Source organism: Homo sapiens, chromosome 8 (genome assembly GCF_000001405.40).
Source record: "Homo sapiens chromosome 8, GRCh38.p14 Primary Assembly".
Taxonomy (NCBI): domain Eukaryota; kingdom Metazoa; phylum Chordata; class Mammalia; order Primates; family Hominidae; genus Homo; species Homo sapiens.
Genome location: NC_000008.11, coordinates 105,368,902 through 105,389,909, shown reverse-complemented (window position 1 = coordinate 105,389,909; position 21,008 = coordinate 105,368,902). Strand labels below are relative to the sequence as shown.

Below are 21,008 nucleotides of genomic sequence, written 5' to 3'. Positions count from 1 at the left end.
AAATCTGCACCCTAAAGAAGGCTCTCATTTCTCCTTATCTAGAGGTCTAATAACTGCGCTTCCTTTTTCCTGGATCTATCTTTTCAAATCCCCACTACATGCTGCTTTTAGATTATTCTTCTCAGACATAGCTATGATCACGTCTTACCTTGTCTCAAGCTTTCTTGTTACTATATAAATACATACAGATTTGTTAGCCTCGCATTGATGACCATTTACAAAGCACCACAGACTCTACAAATTAGTCAGAGCTGGGTTGAAATTCTAGTTTCCCCATATACCAGCTGGGTAAAATTAGAAAACTGATTTTCTCTCTCTCTGGTTCCCAATCTCTTCATTGTAATATGAGAATAACAATGTAGTAGAATGTTATTTTGAAGAGAAAAAGCAACTTTGGATCTACCCTTAATTGGTCAATGACATCTGAGTAGGCATAGAGAATGAACCCATTCTAGCATTTTTTGACTATTCATCTTTACTAAAGGTCTCGGCTTTTGTGACACTATTTCCCCCTCTGATTTTCCTCTTTGTCCATTTAACCCTTTATATGAGTGCTTCCATGAAGTTGTGTCATTGGTCCCTTTTCATTATATATGCTTTTTCTAGTGATCTTCTAAGATCTTAAATACTGTTAAACTCCTACTATATGCTAATAGATTTCAATTATGGATGCTACAGATTCCAACATCCATCTGTTTACTAGACATGTCTGAGTGTCCTATGGTCGCCTTAGGCCTTCTCCTACAATCCTTTGCTCTTCCCTCATTGCTTGTTTCTTTAAATCACATCACTCTGTTAAGTGGGCCATCCAGAAGGGTCAGAGTATCTATTCGTCTCTCCCCTCATGCCTACACACACACACACACACACACACACACACACACACACACACACACGTCATCAAATTCTGTGGTTTTGTTTTCTAAATTAGCTCTCTCCTCTGTATGTGCACGTTCTCTCCTTTTCATAGGGCCATCAACACCTCTTCTCTGGACTATTGCTACAGTGTATCAGTGAAGGTCTAACCTCCAAACAGAAACAGTTCTGAGTTCTTAACTAGAGGGAATTTATTTCAGGGAACTGAGCACACAGGTTGGAAGAGGACAGCAACGCAACCCGGATATTAGCAACAGCAGGAAGCTGTTAACTTCCCTGAGCTAAATAAATAAAACAGGAGAATCACCTGGCAGAAGCCAGGACCACAGCAACTGTTCTTCCTCCATCCTCACTCCCTTTCAAGACATATTCTCCAATGCTGCCTTTCTAAAAGGTAAATCCCATTATGTTTGTCCCAATGCCGAGAATTCCTCAGTGGTTTTCTACTGCCCGCATGTAGTCGGAGCTTACTGCATTTTTGACTGCCATGCTGTGCCATGCCCATCACCCCCCAGAAGGCTTCTATTCTCTTAGACTCCATTCTCTAACCTGGAATCCTCCCACCCACATGCTAACAACTGCAAATGCCTTCTCATCTTTCACGACTTATACTGCAAGTCATTTTTATTATCATGTCTCCCATGTTGTGTGTTCTCCCTCTTTTTCCCTCCTCTTTCTCTCTCCCTCCCCCAACCCCATCTCCTTTTCCCTTTTCTCTCCATTTCTTCTTCTCTTTCCTTTTTTACTGTCACTAATGGTATGAGTTGTTCCCCCATGAAAATCTCTATGTTGCCACTGATTTCACAGTACTGCAGTTGTGTGTGTGTGCACATTCATATGCACATGTGTTTGCATATTTTGGCATGCAATATTCAGTTATATGTCTGTCTTTACCAGCTTTTAGCCACCTTGAGGGCAGGAGTATTCATCACATATCATATCTTTTATCAGTTCAATAGTTTCTTGAAAGATGTCTTGAATTAATTTGGTGGTCTCAAATATATTTATAGGTTCACATATTTCTAAGACTGGAAGTAAAATCTTAAGCATTTTATGGGAATTTCTTACTGCATCAGAAAAAATTATTGAAAGAGAAAATATTTCTTACATTAGTTTTTCCAGGGCGAATACAGGTTGTCTTTTTTTCTCTGATGCTCTGTAAACACAGTTTGAGTGGGATTGAGAGGTGACAGCGTGCTGGCAGCGCTCGCAGCCCTTGCTCGTTCTCGAGTCCTCCTCTGCCTGGGCTCCCACTTTGGCGGCACTTGAGGAGCCCTTCAGCCCGCCGCTGCACGGTGGAGCCCCTTCCTGGGCTGGCCGAGGCCGGAGCCGGCTCCCTCAGCTTGCGGGGAGGTGTGGAAGTAGAGGCGCGGGCAGGAACCGCGGCTGCGCACAGCGCTTGCGGGTCAGTGCCAGTTCCGGGTGGGCGTGGGCTCCACGGGCCCTGCACTCAGAGCGGCCAGCCAGCCGGCCCCGCCCGCCCTAGGCAGTGAGGGGCTTAGCACCTGGGCCAGCAGCTGCTGTGCCGGACTTCTCGCCGGGCCTTAGCTGCCTCCCGGCGGGGCAGGGCTTGGGACCTGCAGCCCACCATGCCTGAGCCTCCCCCACGCTGTGGGCTCCTGCGCAGCCGGAGCCTCCCCGACGAGCGCTGCCGCCTGCTCTACGGCGCCCAGTCCCATCGACCACCCAAGGGCTGAGGAGTGCGGGCGCACAGCACGAGACTGGCAGGCAGCTCCACCTGCGCCCCAATGCGGGATCCACTGGGTGAAGCCAGCTGGGCTCCTGAGTCTGGTGGGGACTTGGAGAACCTTTATGTCTAGCTAAGGGATTGTAAATACAGCAATTGGCACTCTGTATCTTGCTCAAGGTTTGTAAACACACCAGTCAGCACCCTGTGTCTAGCTCAGGGTTTGTGAATGCACCAATCCACACTCTCTATCTAGCTACTCTGGCGGGGTACTCGGAGAACATTTATGTCTAGCTAAGGGATTGTAAATACACCAATCGGCACTCTGTATCTAGCTCAAGGTTTGGAAATACACCAATCAGCACCCTCTGTCTAGCTCAGAGTTTGTGAATGCACCAATCAACACTCTGTATCTACCTACTCTGGTGGGGACGTGGAGAACTTTTGTGTCCACACTCTGTATCTAGCTAATCTAGTGGGTACGTGGAGAACTTTTGTCCTCCACCTTCCCCTTGTTCTAGCTCAGGGATTGTAAACACACCAATCAGCACCCTGTCAAAACGGACCAATCAGCTCTCTGTAAAATGGACCAATCAGCAGGATGTGGGTGGGGCCCGATAAGAGACTAAAAGCAGGCTGCCCCAGCCAGCAGTGGCAACCTGCTGGGGTCCCCTTCCACATTGTGGAAGCTTTGTTCTTTCGCTCTGTGCAATAAATCTTGCTGCTGCTCACTTTTTGGGTCCACACTGTCTTTATGAGCTGTAACACTCACCGAAAAGGTCTGCAGCTTCACTCCTGAGCCAGCGAGACCATGAACCCACCAGAAGGCTGAACACATCCAAACATCAGAAGGAACAAACTCCAGACACACCACCTTAAGAGCTATAACACTCACCACGAGGGTCCACGGCTTCATTCTTGAAGTCAGTGAGACCAAGAACCCACGAATTCCGGACACAGGATTACTAGTGTGGCCAGTGCTCATGAACATAGATCCTTTCTTACCTTATAATTCTGATGCTTAAAAGAATATGTAAAAAAATTAAAAATGTATGCTTTAGCTTCAGGAAGAATAAAACAAAAAGGCACATATTAAGTATAGCAAAAACAATCTCTACCTTTAAAAAATACCCTACTTTCGGTTGGGCTCTTCATGAGTTATATCAAGAATATTCTGTTTGTTTTACTACAGTTCAAAAGACTTTTTCTAATTCTCTAGCCCTCCTGCCCCCACTTACTGGCCATTTTACTGAGCACCTATTGAAAAACAGTAAATGTTTACTTACATTAATTTATTTAATATTCACAATAACTACATGAATGGGGGTAACTGTTTCAGCTCTGTGTTATAGATGAGGGAACTGAGGCACAGATAAGTAACTTGCTCAAGGTCACATGGAGGTGGGCTGCAGAACTGGAATATAAGCCAGTTCTGACCTCAGAACCCATATACTTAGCCACTACACCATTCTTCCCTATGTGCCAACATTTCTTTTCACCCCTGCACATTCAGCTCAAGAATAGAGAGGAGGGAATAGGAAGCACACTGTGTCCTTCACAGCTTATCCTCTCTGTCCTCTATGGATAAAATGTGCCAATGAAGGAATGACATTACTGCTATAAAGTAATCGCTGGGGTCCTTCTGCTGACCAAGAGAGATCTAAGAGTGATGTAGTTTGGAAGCAAAGAAAAATAATATTTGCATGTATTTACAACCTGCCTTTCTCAGAAAGGATTTAAGGTGTTTCACTAAGATACGTACATTACTGACAGATAAAGTAAATTAAAATAGGTAAGAAGCAAAGCAAAGGGAAAGTTGGGATAGAGCAGTACAGTGAGCACACACAACACAGGCCATGAATTTCTAGTGACTTGGCAATAGCTAGCTTGACGTTTGTCTCTAAGCTACATACCAGCCAATGAAAACAGAGAAATGAGATGAAATAGTTGATTTTTCTACAAAATACAAATAAAGTAGTTGCTCAAGAGAAGCCCAAATATTTCCACTACTAAGAATAGACAGAAATAACATCCATGGTCTTCCAGAAAGCACTCTGTATTATATAATAAGCAGCATCCTTCACAACCTGCCCAGAGTCCATGCAGAAACGAATGTCAAAGATGACTTTGCATAAGATTCCTCCAAAATATGCATGAGGCATGTAAAACATGGGCCACAGGCTCAGTTGTGCCAGAGGTGTTGTTTTATTATTTTAAACCTCTTTGAGAAGTGGTCTCGTATAGTCTGCTACAGACTGCCTAGATTTGAATCCTGGCTTTGTAACTTCTGAGCTGTGAAACATCGGGCAAGACCTCTCTAGGTCTCAGTTTAATCATCGATAAAACAGAGACAATAATGACAATAACTCTCTCATATGACTGTGTGAGACTTTTGTTAGTCACTACACATAAAGTGCTTAGGGTAGTGTTTGGGACACAGTGAGCACTGTATTCATTTCTGCTGTTATATGGATTATTGAATATCTAAATTTATTTTTCAAGAACCTATTTCCCAGGTGACAGAAACTTCATCAATTCAGGGTTTCGTCTAAGTTCCAGAGAGCATATTTAGTGGCTGACAATGGGAAGGACTTAGAGGAGCTCGGTGAGAAGGCATCTGGTCCTTAGTGTCATCAGTCCCCCTTAGCATTCCTTTGAATTTCCTCTTTCTTCTTGTCAAAGCTCTTGCTCCAAACGGGTTAATGTTTGTTCCCAACTAACTATTGCACACCCTAGGGTACATGGAGATCAGTTTGCTTCTCTCACAATGTGATGGGATCAGGAAAGGCAATGAGTCTGCCTTAGGCCCATCTGTCTCTGTGGTCTTACTGATTTCCCTGACCCCACCTCAGAGAAAAAAACACAGTTCCCATTTGGTATCCTATTAATGAGCCTACTGGGGAACTCTATGGATAATCCACCTCCTGGGATTAACTGAGGGGAAGAAAGGGTGACTCACACTCTTTTTAGAGATTGTCATTTATGCAATCATCACTTCTCTTCCATCAGGAGAATTCTTACTTTTATCTCAGTGGCGAAGTTGAGGGGAGCTTTGCGTGGGTCATCATATCTTCACAAACTCATGTATGCTGTGGTCTTGGCTTGTGCAACTCAAAAGACAAGAATTGGAATCTTTTCTCTCTCAGTGTTTCTGATGTGTGATTCCATCCCTAAGACAATGAATGTGGAGGGCTGGCAGAATGGGGAATGGAGGAGTCAAGGTGTCCACGGGATTGTGTCTACAGTGAGTGAGCTAACACTGGTCTAATATTCTCCAACATATCCTACCACATAAAATTAATTATAGCATATTTCCTAAGCATACTTCAGTTAATGGAATTCTGTAGTTGTCTAGTGTGATGAGATCCATATTTGAAGCTTTCTTCTCTTTATATTAATACCTAGGCAGATTTGAAAGAAGACAGAAAAATGGAAAGACTGAAGACAAGAGCAATATAAGCATTATGCAGATTTTTTAAAATGAGTTAATATAGTGATACTTTGTTTTTTTCAAAATTCTGAATAGTGGGCACAACTTGGTGCTGGCTGATCCAGCAGGAGCTCCAAGTGGTCTATTCCAATTGTCAATTCAAACTATTTTTTAAGCTGTAAACAAGGCTAAAATAGCATGCAACAATATATATGAACAACACTCTATTTTCATATACTCCGGACCACTAAGACTAAGATGTATTAGGTAAATCTTTCATGTTATATGTTGTATGCTGATAAACTCAGGACAAAGAACTATGCAATTACAAGTCTACACGGGCCTTCAAAGATCCAGTTCTTTTACACCTTTATTTCAGATATGAGAAAAGTAGGACTGAGAGGGTTATTTGAAATCACATTCTTTTTTACATAAATATATTAAAACAGAAGAACAAAATAATACACCACATAAGATTTATTTGTCATTGGACCAAGAATTCGGCTGCTGGACAGTCATGCTGACCAATTTTTGACTGTAACTCTGTATGCTTTCTATGACTAGAAGCCCTTTAGAAAGGTCTGCTAAGTAAATTCAACAAGCATCCAGTCAATCTGTAAATGCCTCATGGATAGGTGCTTACTCTATCCCCAACAGTACTTAGTGAAATATCCTGGGGAAAACGTATGCTAATATGTTTATTAACTTTGATGATGAGGAGCAGCATATATTGATGACCATACAGCCTAAATGTCCTTCGCATTTTCTTCAACTCTTACAATCCTGTCTTTTCTTTAAAGCTCAGGCAAAGCCCAACCCCAGGCATGATATTTTTCCTGACTATTCTAGCCTACCCTTATTCCTCTCTTCCTAACCACCTATTTCCCTTTCCATCAAATACCTATTCATTTAAATATATATTTCTACTTAATTATATGATTATGTTTCAGCATAATCTCCATAACTAGATATTAGATTTCCAAAGATCATTTACTATATTCTACACCTTTAATGTTCCACTCGTCATCATCGTCACCAAAGCTTCAAAGATGAGGTGCAAATATTATCCATTAATACTTCCTTTATACTCTTTGAAGTCCCATAATTATTTCTAAATTCCAATATTCCTTTGTCAGGTTTTAGGGGAACTACCCATTTCCAAAGTACTAAGCTTTGCCAAGTAAGTTATGTCTAACCTTCCCCTATACTTAGTCTTTCCATCATAAAATCACAAATATTTTAAGCCATTCCCCAAATGTAGAAGCTAGACTTTCTTCCCCCATTCTAGAAAACTTCTCTAGAATGTCTTCATTTCCATTTCACATTTTGAAGTCTGGTAGGTATATATGCAAACGCTTATACCACTGTGTTGTAAAGGGTAAAATAACATTTTCTATTTTATTTTTAATATTCTTCTCAATGAAGGTAAACTTTTAACATGGAATAAGAAAATAATATTGACAAAAGTGTTTAATAAAAAAACTTCTATAGTTTGATATTTCCTAATAATCTATATTGAAAATACAATAAAACATCATATTAGACATACAGGATTAACTATGTTTTGCAATTTTTAACGCAAACATTATTTAATTCCCTGTAAGGTTATCTAATGAATAACTTATGATTTTTAAAAAAAAAGCTTAAGTACTCTCTAGAGTGCATTGCATACACAGAAGGATGGTGTCAGGAAATCATACTATTGACCAGATAGAAATAATAGAAGTATAATTTGTCAACTATTCAAACTGGAAGAATAACAGATGACTCATTAAGCCTGTATTCATCCAAAGTATAATATTATAAAAATTTCAACCATCTCTAAATAGCTTATCTTGTGGGAGGTCAGGAGCAGGTGTTTTGGACAAATAAATTTTGAATCTTGAATATATTGTTTTTAGCAAGTCTTTCAGTGGTGGTTTATTAGTCCTTCAGATTGATATGTTTGAATTTATGGCAAACCACTTAACAGAAAGTCTACCAATCCATAGAAATAATGTTTACAACTTCAACTTATAGCCTATATCATGTTGACAGTGTAGTCTTTCAAAAGTAGTCTATGAAAATGTACCATATAATGGTAATATTGGTGGATCAAAAAAACCACAATTACGTAAACACTTGAAGCTTCAGTTGTTCTCTAGCTCAAACTTTTGCTGCTTTCCAGAGGCTATCTTTGGGGAAAATATTCATATATATATGCAAAAACATTTACATTTTAGCACACTTGATAGTCTTTAAGCTATTAATATTATTAAAGACCTTCAGTCAAAAACCACCTGGATCAGATCTGTTATTGGACAAATGTGTTTCCTGACCCACTGCAATGAGGGAACTATGGGGAATCTCAGTAAGAATGTGTCTGCCATAACTTATATGATTTGAACTTGTGTTAGGTGTTTTGGGGGAGAGTTCACAAAAGCAGGACTTTGCTCTGGATAGGATGTTGTCAAAAACAAAGAGTTCTCTAGTTTGGGTATCTTACTCAAATTCTCTGATTGGGTATCTTAAAAATTCTTAACTATCAATCAAGAAGAATGAAGTGACGTTAAAGCTGTGATTGGTGATCAAAAAAACTGGAAAAAGAAAATGTGGCACATATACACCATGGAATACTATGCAGCCAGAAAAAAGGATGAGTTCATGTCCTTTCATGCAGGATATGAACCTTCATCCAGGGACAAGGATGAAGCTAGAAAGCATCATTCTCAGCAAACTAACACAGGAACAGAAAACCAAACACTGCATGTTCTCACTCATAAGTGGGAGTTGAACAATGAAAACACATGGACATAGGGAGGGGAATATCACACACCAGGGCCTGTTGAGGGGTGGGGGGCAAGGGGAGGGATAGCATTAAGAGAAATACCTAATGTAGATGATGGGTTGATAGGTGCAGCAAACCATCACGGCATGTGTATACCTATGTAACAAACCTGTAAGTTCTCCACGTGTATCCCAGAACTTAAAGTATAATAATATATATATTATAATATATATAACATATATATTATATATTATATATATTATAATATATATAACATATATATTATATATTATATATATTATAATATATATAACATATATATTATATATTATATATATTATATATAACATATATAATATATATACACATATATGTGTATATATTATATATGTTATATATAACATATATATATAATATATATGTTATATATAATATATATATATATTATATATGTTATATATAATATATATATAATATATATGTTATATATAATATATATATATAATATATATATAATATATATGTTATATATAATATATATATATATAATATATATATACCGATAGAAAATATCTGTTGATTTTCTGGTCTGCAAAATGTTTATGTCTTTGGCTGAGTTCGGGTGTGCATATGTAGTAGTATCATTTTTGTCTAGCCAATTATGATCACCTAGGGTCCTTATGTAATGTTGATCGTGAGTGAGATTCAGTGTTCAAGAGAAGAACACCACAGCCCACCAGGCCAGCCCCAAATATCAGCACCTGCCTTTCTCTTTCTTTCTTAACATATAAAAAATGAGCATAAAGTGGGTGGGGTCATCATTCCTACAGAGTAAAATAGAGTCACAAACAGGAACTCAACTCCACTTTACTTATATTGTAGGCTATAATCAGCATCTTATATATTTTTGGCATTACTGTGTGTTAGAAATATAGCAAATATTTCTATAAGTATTTCAACTAACTCACTTCCTCCTGCTACAAATAACTATTGACTTTCGACTACAGAAAGTCTTTGTCAAAATCTGTATCAAAATTCAATATCACTGTTAGAAAGCTAACGAAATAGGAACTAGGTGAAAGATGAGAGTGAGCCTACATTCACATCACATCTGAATTTCTATATAACGGAGCATTTTGTCATGAGTATTTCCTATATGCGCAGGCACTCTCAGGACTTAGGACTACAATAATGAATAAGATCAAGACCCCATCCTCAGTGTATTTTCTGCCCTATGATAGGACTATAGTTTTCTCATTCCTCATTTTACATTGTGAAATAAAATTACATCACTTTACTGAGTAGTCAAAAAAGAAAATTAATATTGGTCTATACCATGTGTTCATGGCCAGTTTTGGTTCTTACAGTCAATGTAAACTTTTTTTTTTTTTTTTTTGAGACAGAGTTTCACTCTTGTTACCCAGGCTGGAGCGCAATGGCGTGATCTCGGCTCACCACAACCTCCACCTCCCGGGTTCAAGTAATTCTCTCGCCTCAGCCTCCCAAGTAGCTGGGATTACAGGTATCCGCCACCCCGCCTGGTTAATTTTGTGTTTTTCGTAGACATGGGGTTTCACCATGTTGGTCAGTCTGGTCTCAAACTCCAGACCTCTGGTGATCCGCCCACCCTGGCCTCCCAAAGTGCTGGGATTACAGGCGTGAGCCACCGTGCCCGGACCAATGTAAACTTTTAATTAAATTTTGGCCACTGGTTTGCTGGTTCACTGATGAGTTGTAAATATTTCCTCTCAAGTCCACAAGCATCTCATATAAACTCAAGAGGATAAAAATTCTAATTGCATTCCAATTATTGATGAAGTTTTTTTTAATTGTTTATGCTATCAGTGGGAATTTGATTTGTTTTAAAACTTGATGTTCATATGCAGATATAAAGTTATAAGATAAAGTTTTGTAAATCACACTGTAATAATACACAGCAATTAAATTAGGCCACTAAATAAAAACTGTGCCAAATGTAGAAATTAACAAGTTATTTAAAAAAATCAACAAGAACAATTTTTTTGAAATTTTAACATTTAAATTCAATTTTAAAACCACAAACAAAAGTAGTACATATTGTTATCTTCACAGGAAAACAGTATAATTATCTAAATAGGTCCTAGACGTTAATTATCTACCTACGTATCTACCTATATCTCTACCTATTTACCTACCTATCTAACCATCTATGTCAATTTTAGGTCCTAAATATACTCCATCTGCCTATCATCTATCTATTGATTGACTGACCTATCTATCTACATACCTACCTATCCTTGATTAATTAAATGTCTTAAATTTCTTAAAACTGTCTTAATTTTAAACCAACTAGAGTAGTGGCAAATATCAGAAATATCTTATTTTCTTCTTCTTTATCTCATTTGTTAGATTTAGAGAGACTACCATCCTCTCTAAACCTAAAAACATACACGGTATATCAAATAAAACCTCCCCAACAGTTTTTGTTTCTATAATGAGGATGCTCTTGTAGTTTCATTATTAAAAGAAATATACATATACTCACATAATCTAGCCTTGTCTGCTATTTATTCATTCGGTCACAAAATAAATATTTACCGAGCGTCCTCCAACTATTTGTAGAAAATTATGTGGAACAGAGCAATTAAAATAAACAAAACACAGTGCTTCATCTTAAAGAGTTTGCAGCCTAGGAGGAAAGATTAAGGCATGTACACAAATATTAAAAGAAAGCAGTTATCATTACAGATAGGGGCAAAACCTTCTGAGAGTTCAGACAAGGGAGTGATGGCTCCGGGTTGGAAATATCGTAAGTTTTCATAAGAAAAAAATGTGTCTTAACTATGGATTAAAATATAGGATTACAGATAGAAACTGAGGGATATCTACTGTGTTCCTTGGGGACCCCGCCTCCCTAATTCTTAGTTCACCCCCAGTTCTTCTTCACATTCATTACCATAAAGCTCTTGTTTTACTTAGTCTTCTGCAGCTCACCTTCCAACTCTAAAGGTAGGGCTCTTTCCATTTAATTTTCTTAATTTCATTTGGCTATATCATCCAATATCCCAGTTGATAGCAATACTTTTTTAATTAAAAAATCATAGTGACATATAATATGCATTGAGGCAATAATTTGAATCCTCTTCTTTTCACATCCATCACAGCAGTCATCCTTCCCTAGTTTCCCATAACTGAAACTGGGAAGCACACTTTTTACACACTCATCCAAAGAAAGGGAAACAGAATACTCTTCAAGGTGTTCAAACTTCAAAGAAATCAAATTGTTGTTAAGAGGGAAGTATATATAGTCTGAAGTGCACCTAAAAAATTTCTGTAAAAGGTATCCAAATATCTATTCATTCAGTCGTTCATTTTTCTTTATTTTTCTTTTGAGACAGAGTATTGATCTGTCACTCAGGCTGGTGTGCAGTGGTGCAATCTCGGCTCACTGCAACCTCCACCTTCTGGGTTCAAGCGATCCTCATGCCTCAGCCTCTCGAGTAGCTGGGATTACAGATGTGCACCACTACATCTGGCTTTTTTTTTTTTTTTTTTTTTTTTTTGGATTTTTAAGAAAAACGGGGTTTTGCTATGTTGGCCAAGCTGGTCGCAAACTCCTGGCCTCAAGTGATCCTTCCACCTCGGCCTCCCAAAGTGCTGGGATTACAGGCATGAGCCACCACACCCAGCCCAGTCATTCATTTTTCTATTCAACAAATGTTTCTAGAGTACTACTATATAACAGGTACTCTTATAGGCCTCTTTCAGAACTAAGTTCTCTATTTCCTTGGGTTTACATTCTAGAGGGAGGCGATAGTAAGCAAAGAAAATAAAACAACCAGTGAATAAATAGATAAATAAACTGCATAAACAAACTAAGCAAAATATGGTAATAAACTATAATGTTGTAAGCACTATGAAGATTACCAACATCGGGCAACAGGCTACTATGATGAGGTGTTTACTTCATCTGGTAAGTCAGGGAAGCCCTCCTTGAAGAGATGACATGTCAGATGGGACTTACGTGATAAGAAGGAATGACCATACAATAATCCCAGGGGAAGAGCATTCAAGACAGGGTGAACAGCCCTACAATGGGAACAGTGGGAATAAACATGGCATGTCTGAGAAAGAGCCACATGGTTAGAGCACAGAGATGAGAGGACCATGGTACAAGATGAGGACAGAGAGCTGAGCAGGAAGTTTCAAAGCCAGGACAAGGAATACAGATTATATTCTAATTGCATTGGGAAGCAATTGAAAAGTTTTAAGCTAGTGAGTGGCATGGTATCATTATTTTAAAAGATTACTTTATCTGCTATACCCAGGATGGATTCTAAGGAGTAAGAGTGAATTTCAGAGAGACCACATTAGGCAGCAATAATCTGGGCAAGAGAAGATGATGATCTGTACTAAAACTGGACAGAAATAGATGAATTCAGAAGATATTTTTAGAGATAGGACTTATAATAGATTGGATATGAGAAGATGCAAAAGCCAGAATAAATGCTAACTCCCAGCTTTTTTACTTAGACAAACTGGATGTATGTTGATGAAATTGGCTGAGATGAAACAATTGAAGAGGAACAGATTTGTGAGACACATGACCAAGAGTTGTTCTTGGGACACATTAAATTTGAGATGCTTGTTAGAGATCCATGTGAAGAGTGTAGGCAGTTGGAAATATGAGTCTGAAGGTCCAGGGAGAATTCAAGTCTGGAAATAAAGATTTTAAAGCCTTTCAGAGACAGAAGGTATTTACAGCTATAGGATCAAAATTCATCACCTGGAGAAAGAGTACAGCCTGACAAGAGAGGAAGGTCCAGGAGAGAGTCTTGAAGAACTTCAATGTCTAGATATTGAGCAGAGGAGAAATTAATCCAGAAAACTGAGAAGTAGCCATTCAAATGGGAAGAAAACTAAGAGAGTGTGATGTCACCAAACTCAAGAGAAGAACGTGCTTCAAGAAGGAGGGAGTAGTCAACTTTGCTGAATGATGCTAGGAGTTAAGAGAGGTGAAGATTGGATTTGTCTAAATGGAGGCCACTAGTAAAAGTAACAGCTCTGTTAGGGGAGTGCTGAGGAATCTCAGGGCTTTTTCCAGAATGGGATGGAGTTGAAGAGAGAAGAGGAAATGAAAGAATAGAAACAAGACTAGAGACAACAATTTCAAGACATTTTGCTCTAAATAGGGCATAGAGAAGTGGGGTGGTATATGGGGTTAAGAAAGGATTTTGTGATAGATGATGATAAAGTTCTTTGTTATTATTATTCATGTTGGAATGATCTTGTATTTACAGGGAAATGTTGCAGAAGAAAGAACAGATAAACCACAGCAAACCCTTGGACAAGAAGTAGACTCCACAGAGGAACATGTTCGTTGACCTCAAAAAGTTTATCTCAGCTATGATTATAAGCCAATTTTCTTTCAGTTTGTACTTTTGTCTACATTAAAGACACTGATAAATGATATAAGAAAATAGTTAAGCCCACAACATCTAATCTGCATACCAAGGCCTCATCTGCCTCTTTACAGACTCCTATCTTCACTACTCAACTGGTGAAGGGAGTTCTAATCTGCTTGGTTATATTCCAGGACACCAATTCTGCCAGAGTTACCAGCAGTTGGAACACTGAGCATACAAAGGTCATAGAGAAAGGTGCGATTCTCTCTTCCTTCTTTGCTACTGCACTAGTAAGAGACCAGAGTCTTCACCTGCTGTGGTCCCACTTCCCTCTCCTTTTCTCCCTTTGCCTATCTTTTCCCTTCCTAAGGAACAGCTTTCCTGCAGATAGAGGCTCCAGGCAACTGTTTTCTGTCCCTGATTCTCTTTCCTTTTCTCTCCTACCTTATAGAAGTAGTTGGTAGTCTTAGGGCTCTTTCCATCAATGAAGGACCCTGTTAGATTCCTTTCTAGAAAATAATTTTCCTTTCTCAAGTGTGGTACATCCTAAAATTCAGATTTGGGCTTCAGAGCTAAAAAAGTGTTTTGTTTTTGTTTTTGTTTTGTTTTTTTCCTATCCAGGCTGCCATGGACTGGGAAAAAAAATTTAGGTCCATTGGACAAATATCAAATAATAGTCACAAATTATTATCTCCAAAATCCTTGCCCCCAAATACAAACAAAGATAGCATGAATACTTAATTATCAGAGTACTTAATCAAAAGCAAGTTAGGACTTGACAGCTTTGGTTTGGGCAGACAGTCCCTGCAGAGTAGTCTTGGACAGATCCCTCATTTTACCTATGGAAGTTAGAGGTTCTGAACCCAAAAAAAAAAATGTTGTCTTTACTCCCATAAACTGGAGCTACCCTACAAAGAATATTGACAAATCCAGGAGTTATCTTGGACTCTGATCCAGATGTTAACTTGTTACCACTCTGAGTGGTTTCCCACATCATGTCCCTGCTACCTGCCCTATGTTCCTATGCTTGTCCACTTAACCAGAGTTTTGTTATAGTCTCTTCACCCTCTTCTCCTCACCTGTGACACTACCATTTTATTATTTTATTTAATAAAAATTTGGGAGGCTGAGGCAAGAGGATTGCTTGAGCTCAGGAGTTCAAGAACAGCCTGGGCAACATAGGGAGATCCCATCTCGACAAAAAATTTTAAATTGCACCGGGTGTGGCGGTGTGCACCTGTAGTCCCAGCTACTTGTGAGGCTGAAGGGGGAGAAAGTTGAGGCTGCAGTGAGCTGTGAATGTGCCACTGAACTCCAGCCTGGGAGAAATAGCAAGACCCTGTCTCAAAAAAAAAAAAATTCTTAGTTTAAAACTCATACTTAAGTAACATAATAGTTTCCTTACAGTTGCTTAAAACTATTGGTAAGTATCTCTGGAACTATGAGCAATTTATCTAGCAAGTTGTGTATCTTTCATAAATAATTACATATCTAGATCACGTCATACCATTTTCTTTATTAAAAAGTTTCACCCAAGACTAGTTTACTATGTGGGGATTTCTTGAGAGTTGGGGCCATGTCATGCTCATGTTTAATTTCCTCTAGGCTCTGCCTATACAAAACCTACATATTACTGAATTGAGAGATAGTATATGTGACATATAAACAGAAAGACCCAAAAGGGAAAGAGAATTGACATCCCATACTTAAAAGAGTTCCATTTATATATTAAAGTTTGCCAACCCCAGCACTTGAACAACCTTTTATTTTTTGTACACAATATCTAGTTCGTTCCTTCTTTTATCATGACTTGCTGCCCTCCCAGCCCAGGTGTTGGCTATTCCAGTGATTGGATCAAAGATGACCTTTTATGCATGAAGACAGAGGTAAAGAAAATGCTTATTAAAAGTCTCTGCCTATTGTATGTCATCAGTTAAGAGCTTTCCTTTCCTATCTGACAGAGGGACAGCGTTTTCCTTTATCATTTCCTTGAGTTTAATGTACTAAAAAAACATAGTTTCCATTTTTCTTTATTGTTTTTATCTCATTTATTTAGTTTTGTTGTAGTTGTTGTTGTTATAGCTTTTCTCTGGCTTGAATATGCAGTTAGGCATTAATTTCTCTGCAATTTATTTAATTGAATAATCTATCTTCCATTTTGTTAGCACTCTTTATATTTTTAAGGCACTGTGTTTATTCATGTGAGATTTCTTTTACTCTGCCTACATAATCTGTAATGATGACTGTAAGGCCCAGAGAAGCTCTCTCCTGTGAAATTAAGACTACTCTCCATCAGATGCCTTTAAGAAATGGCGTGAGATTTCAGGAGAAAAAAACGATCTTACTCCTTAAATGGAAGTTTAATAGAGAGAAAGAAAAATAAAATTGAAGAAAGGAAATAATAACTGAACTTGGAATGCCAGGTTTTAAGAGCTCAAAATGATTTCTTGATGTACCTGCTGAGAAAGAAGAATCTTGTGAAAATGTGAATGAAGGTTCAGTGAATGGTTGGCTTAACTGAGGAAGTAAAAATTAAAATATGGGTTGTTTTGACTCTTTCTAGATCCTCTGCTTTCATCTAATGCTGATAAGAAAAACGCCAATCACGATGGAATAGTGAGAATAGAAGACCAAGGCAATTTGCCAACAAGAGGTCTCCTGGCCAACAAGAATAGTAATGGACTTCTTGTTTTACAAATCCTTAAAGATAAGAAATCTTATATCTAAAACCATGCTGGTCAGAGCACTTGGTGCCCTTATGCATATGAACTGGGAGATAATCTATGGATTTTGAATATTATTGCCACCTAAAACATTTTTCTCTTACTTCCCTTTATATTTTCTGAAGTCTTTTTTTCATTTATTAAATTCCACTCTATTCCTATCATTATCGTGAAACTTTCCTTGCTTCCCATTAAAATTCCTAATACGGTGCATGTCCTGATGGATAAAACTTAGAAGAGCTTTCCTTTCCTACTTATTTTCTTTCCTTTCTACATGACTACATTAAATATTAAATAACTCAAACATATTCTGGTAATTTGAAAAATTCACTGCCCTTTAAGAAACTGTTTGAGGAGTTTTCTCTTCTTACTAAGTATACACTAATATAGAGATGTTTAAATCAACCCTAGGACACTATGATATTTTAGTGCAGTTACTCCAATCTCTGAATACTTTTCCATCTACCAGACTTTTATTTACCTAGAAAGCTCAGTAAACATTATTACTTTTATTATTGATATTATTATTATTTTACTTGTTAGAAACATTTTTATTTTCTACAATTTATTTTGTATATTTCAAACCTTCAAAAGTTACAATACTAAATAATAAACATGCACATACCCTTTGCTTAGAATTACAAATTGCTAACATTTTGCCACATTTTCTGTATGCTTCTTTCTCAGTACTAAAAATAATAGGCCGGGCGCGGTGGCTCACGCCTGTAATCCCAGCACTTTGGGAGGCCGAGGCAGGTGGATCACGAAGTCAGCAGATCAAGACCATCCTGGCTAACACGGTGAAACCCTGTCTCTACTAAAAATACAAAAAATTAGCCAGGCCTGTTGGCAGGTGCCTGTAGTCCCAGCTACCTGGGAGGCTGAGGCAGGAGAATGGCGTGAACCCAGCAGGCAGAGCTTGCAGTGAGCCGAGATCACGCCACTGCACTCCAGCCTGGGTGACAGAGCAAGACTCCGTCTCAAAAAAAATAAAATAATAATAATAATAATAATAATAATAATAATAATAATAATAATTTCACTATTTTTATCATTTTGTGAACCATTTGAAATGTAAGTTGCATGCACTATGACCTTTTATCCTAAGTAGTCCAGTATATATCATCTGAGAAAAACGACATTCTATTATGTAGCCAGAGTATATTTCACTAATTCAGAACAATTAATTTTGATGAACACAATTATGTAATACACAGTACAGATTAAATTTTGCCAATCATCCTAATAATGTCCTTTATAACATTTTTTATGCAATTAACAATCTAATCTAGTCTCATATTTTAGTCTTATATAAGGTGGTATCACCTTTCTCTGATAGCATATGCAAATAATTTGTATTTTAATTTCATACCTCCAGTCATGACCTAAAATTTAATAATTCCTGTTCATTTACAAATTTCCTGAATTTGAGTTTGTATAACCACTTGAGAGTGTATATCTCGATCTGTTTACTTTCATGACCTTCTGATTGCTCTAAAGAATCTATGCCCTTAGATAACATCTGTAACCAGTTCTTACATAACTTTTGATCTGGTTTCCTTCCACTAAGTTTACAAACTCTTCCTAAAATCCCTTCTGTTCTTGGATGCTGACAATGTAACTATCTCCACCCTCCATTATTTCCAGACCACATTACAACTCAGGAAAGCCAAGTGTACAGATCTACCTCCTTTAACCTTCTAGATGCCCATCATCAGCAAGTATAAATTCTTTAAATATTCAGCTTTTGGACTAACATGACAAAAGAGAGTATTACTCAATTTCCTATCTTTTTCTCCTCGTTATACAATTTTGTTTGACCAGCTCAGTATATGTTCTAGCAATACCACTGTGTGTGGATATGGGTTCACACACACACAGAGAAACAAGAATATTAAAACAAAAGTATTAAATAGAGGCTTAACATTTCTAGGATTTAACAAAGTTCTACCTAACATCTTGAATTCAGGCTTCATGTCCTGCAAAATACAGACCCATACAGAGGTGCCAGGCCTAATTAGCATCACAGAGTCAGTAGCACCCAATATTTTAAAGATGCGTCTAGCAACGAATTACAGCATCTTCAAAATCCATCACAGAGGTTCATGAGGACAACTGCTGCTGTGTGTACACACAGCACAACACATGGAATGAAGAGCTTTGGCTTTGGAGTTAGATAAGTTGCGTTCAAATCCCAGATCTGTACATTACCAGCTAGATTCCTTTGAGCAAATTACTTCACCTTTCTCTGCCTTGTTTTCCTCAGGCATAAAATACAGCACATACACTGTAAGTTAAAACAATTCATATAAAAACTTTGCAACACTCCTTAACACAAAGAAAGTCTTCAATAAGTGTCTTTATCAAAAGAGGAGCTGTGGTGCACTTGCTCTTGACTTAATCCCATTAATTTAACCAGTCTGTGGCTGCTGAAGTCCCTCCTGCTGTAATAGCCCCTTTTATTCTCAGGTTTCCATAAAGCCATGTTGTACACATTATAATGCATATCACTAAGATGGGGCATCTGCCCCATAGGACAAAATATCTAAAAAGTCATTTATAAAGTTTATGTAGCCCAACCTCCATTCAATGTTTTTCCCTTTACAACGTCTCTAAAGGATGATTAACTAAACACTTCTAGGCTGAAATTTCATTACGTCACAATTTGGGAAAGGTAAGAATTACTAGAAAATTAGTTCTTATTCTGAACTGGTAGTTACCTCCCTTAAAAAATGTCTATCCATTAGAAAGAACTAATACTTATTGAGTACTTAGCTATCGTGCAATTTACGTATGCTATCTTTTGTTGTCTTCTGCATAACCATGTGAAACAGGTTCTATTTCTTACCCCCTCACCCAATGATGCTATGCCAGTTTTGCACTGGATTTACTTTGCACTGTCATTTCAATGAGTTGTTTCTCAGTGGTTTCCTAGTGCTTCATATGAAAGGTGGACTGAGACCCTGGACCAGTAACTAGATTTCCTCTCACTTATTACCATACATTTTAACATATTACTATAAATTATTCCTCCAAAGTCTTAAACATAATTGACAAACACTGATATAATTCCCAAAAGAAATACATAATATTCACTGTTATAATCACAAACACATAGATACATACTACTATATTCATATTTATTATTTGTATGTGTATTCATGCTCTTCAGTGAAATTTTCTAACATTATAAGCTCTTGAAATCACTCTCACTGCACCCATAAGCACACAATGAAGTAGTTTACATAAACTACATAGTATAGGTCCTTTCCAGAAAGAAAAAAAGAAAAAACTCTTGGCCTACTGGATAGAAAAGTTACAAATTATCCATCCAAAGCACAGATCATAAACCTGACCCCCTTTTTAGATTTTTATTAGGACTGAAATAATTGATACTGACAGAACAAAGAGAAGATTGTTACAACCATAAAAATCATTTTGCTGCTACTAATATAACTGAATCCTACGTCTAATGGATTATGTGGCCAGGCCAGCCTCATAACATCATCTAGTAACTAACTCTGTCCATATGCTGGCGTTCAATGGCCAAAGGCCCCATTTAATTAAGAAGATGGATTTATATGCACTAATAATTCAGGTTAAAGCTTTGAGACCATAGTATTACCCAAGTTAAAAAAAAATTTTTAGCCTCACCATTTTTTCCTACTGAGTACACCTCCTATTTCTGCATGATACCCCATCAAAAACTTACAATATTAGATATGCTTAAAAGTATAAAAACATAATAATATTTAGCACATATTTATATAATTCACGTCAGGATAATTGTCTTCAATTTCAAACAGACCCTCTTAACAAAGAGGGATTATTAATCTTGTGAAAACCTGATATTGAGATAAATCCATTTATCAGACATAGACATGGAAAAACATAGCCAGTTAAATGTAGGAGCAAAGTTATCTAGAAATAACCTAATGGGCTCCTTCATGTGTGGTTTTATATATTTTATTATTTGCTCTAGTCATAAATCATGACATGTATACCGCTGGCTAAAATATCTTCTGGGAATAAAGCTCCTTCATTACAAAGTTAATGTTGAGAAGTACTTTGTAAATCAAATGAAAGAGAACCACTGGGACTCATAGCCATGCACTTCAAAAAGGTCCTAGGTCAAAGTTGC

General features: G+C 37.6%; 1 protein-coding gene across 6 annotated transcripts in view; it reads right to left on the bottom strand.

The window, feature by feature from the left end:
* ZFPM2 (zinc finger protein, FOG family member 2) overlaps nt 1–21,008 on the bottom strand; it is a 486,102-nt gene that overhangs the window by 414,630 nt on the left and 50,464 nt on the right. The window contains exon 1 of one of the 6 annotated variants that reach the window (XM_047421632.1): nt 1,985–6,754. The exons of the other annotated variants lie outside the window; for them this stretch is intronic. The gene's annotated coding sequence lies outside the window, so the exon portion shown is untranslated. Of the gene's footprint in view, nt 1–1,984; nt 6,755–21,008 lie in introns of those variants that run through there. 6 annotated transcript variants of the gene reach the window in all.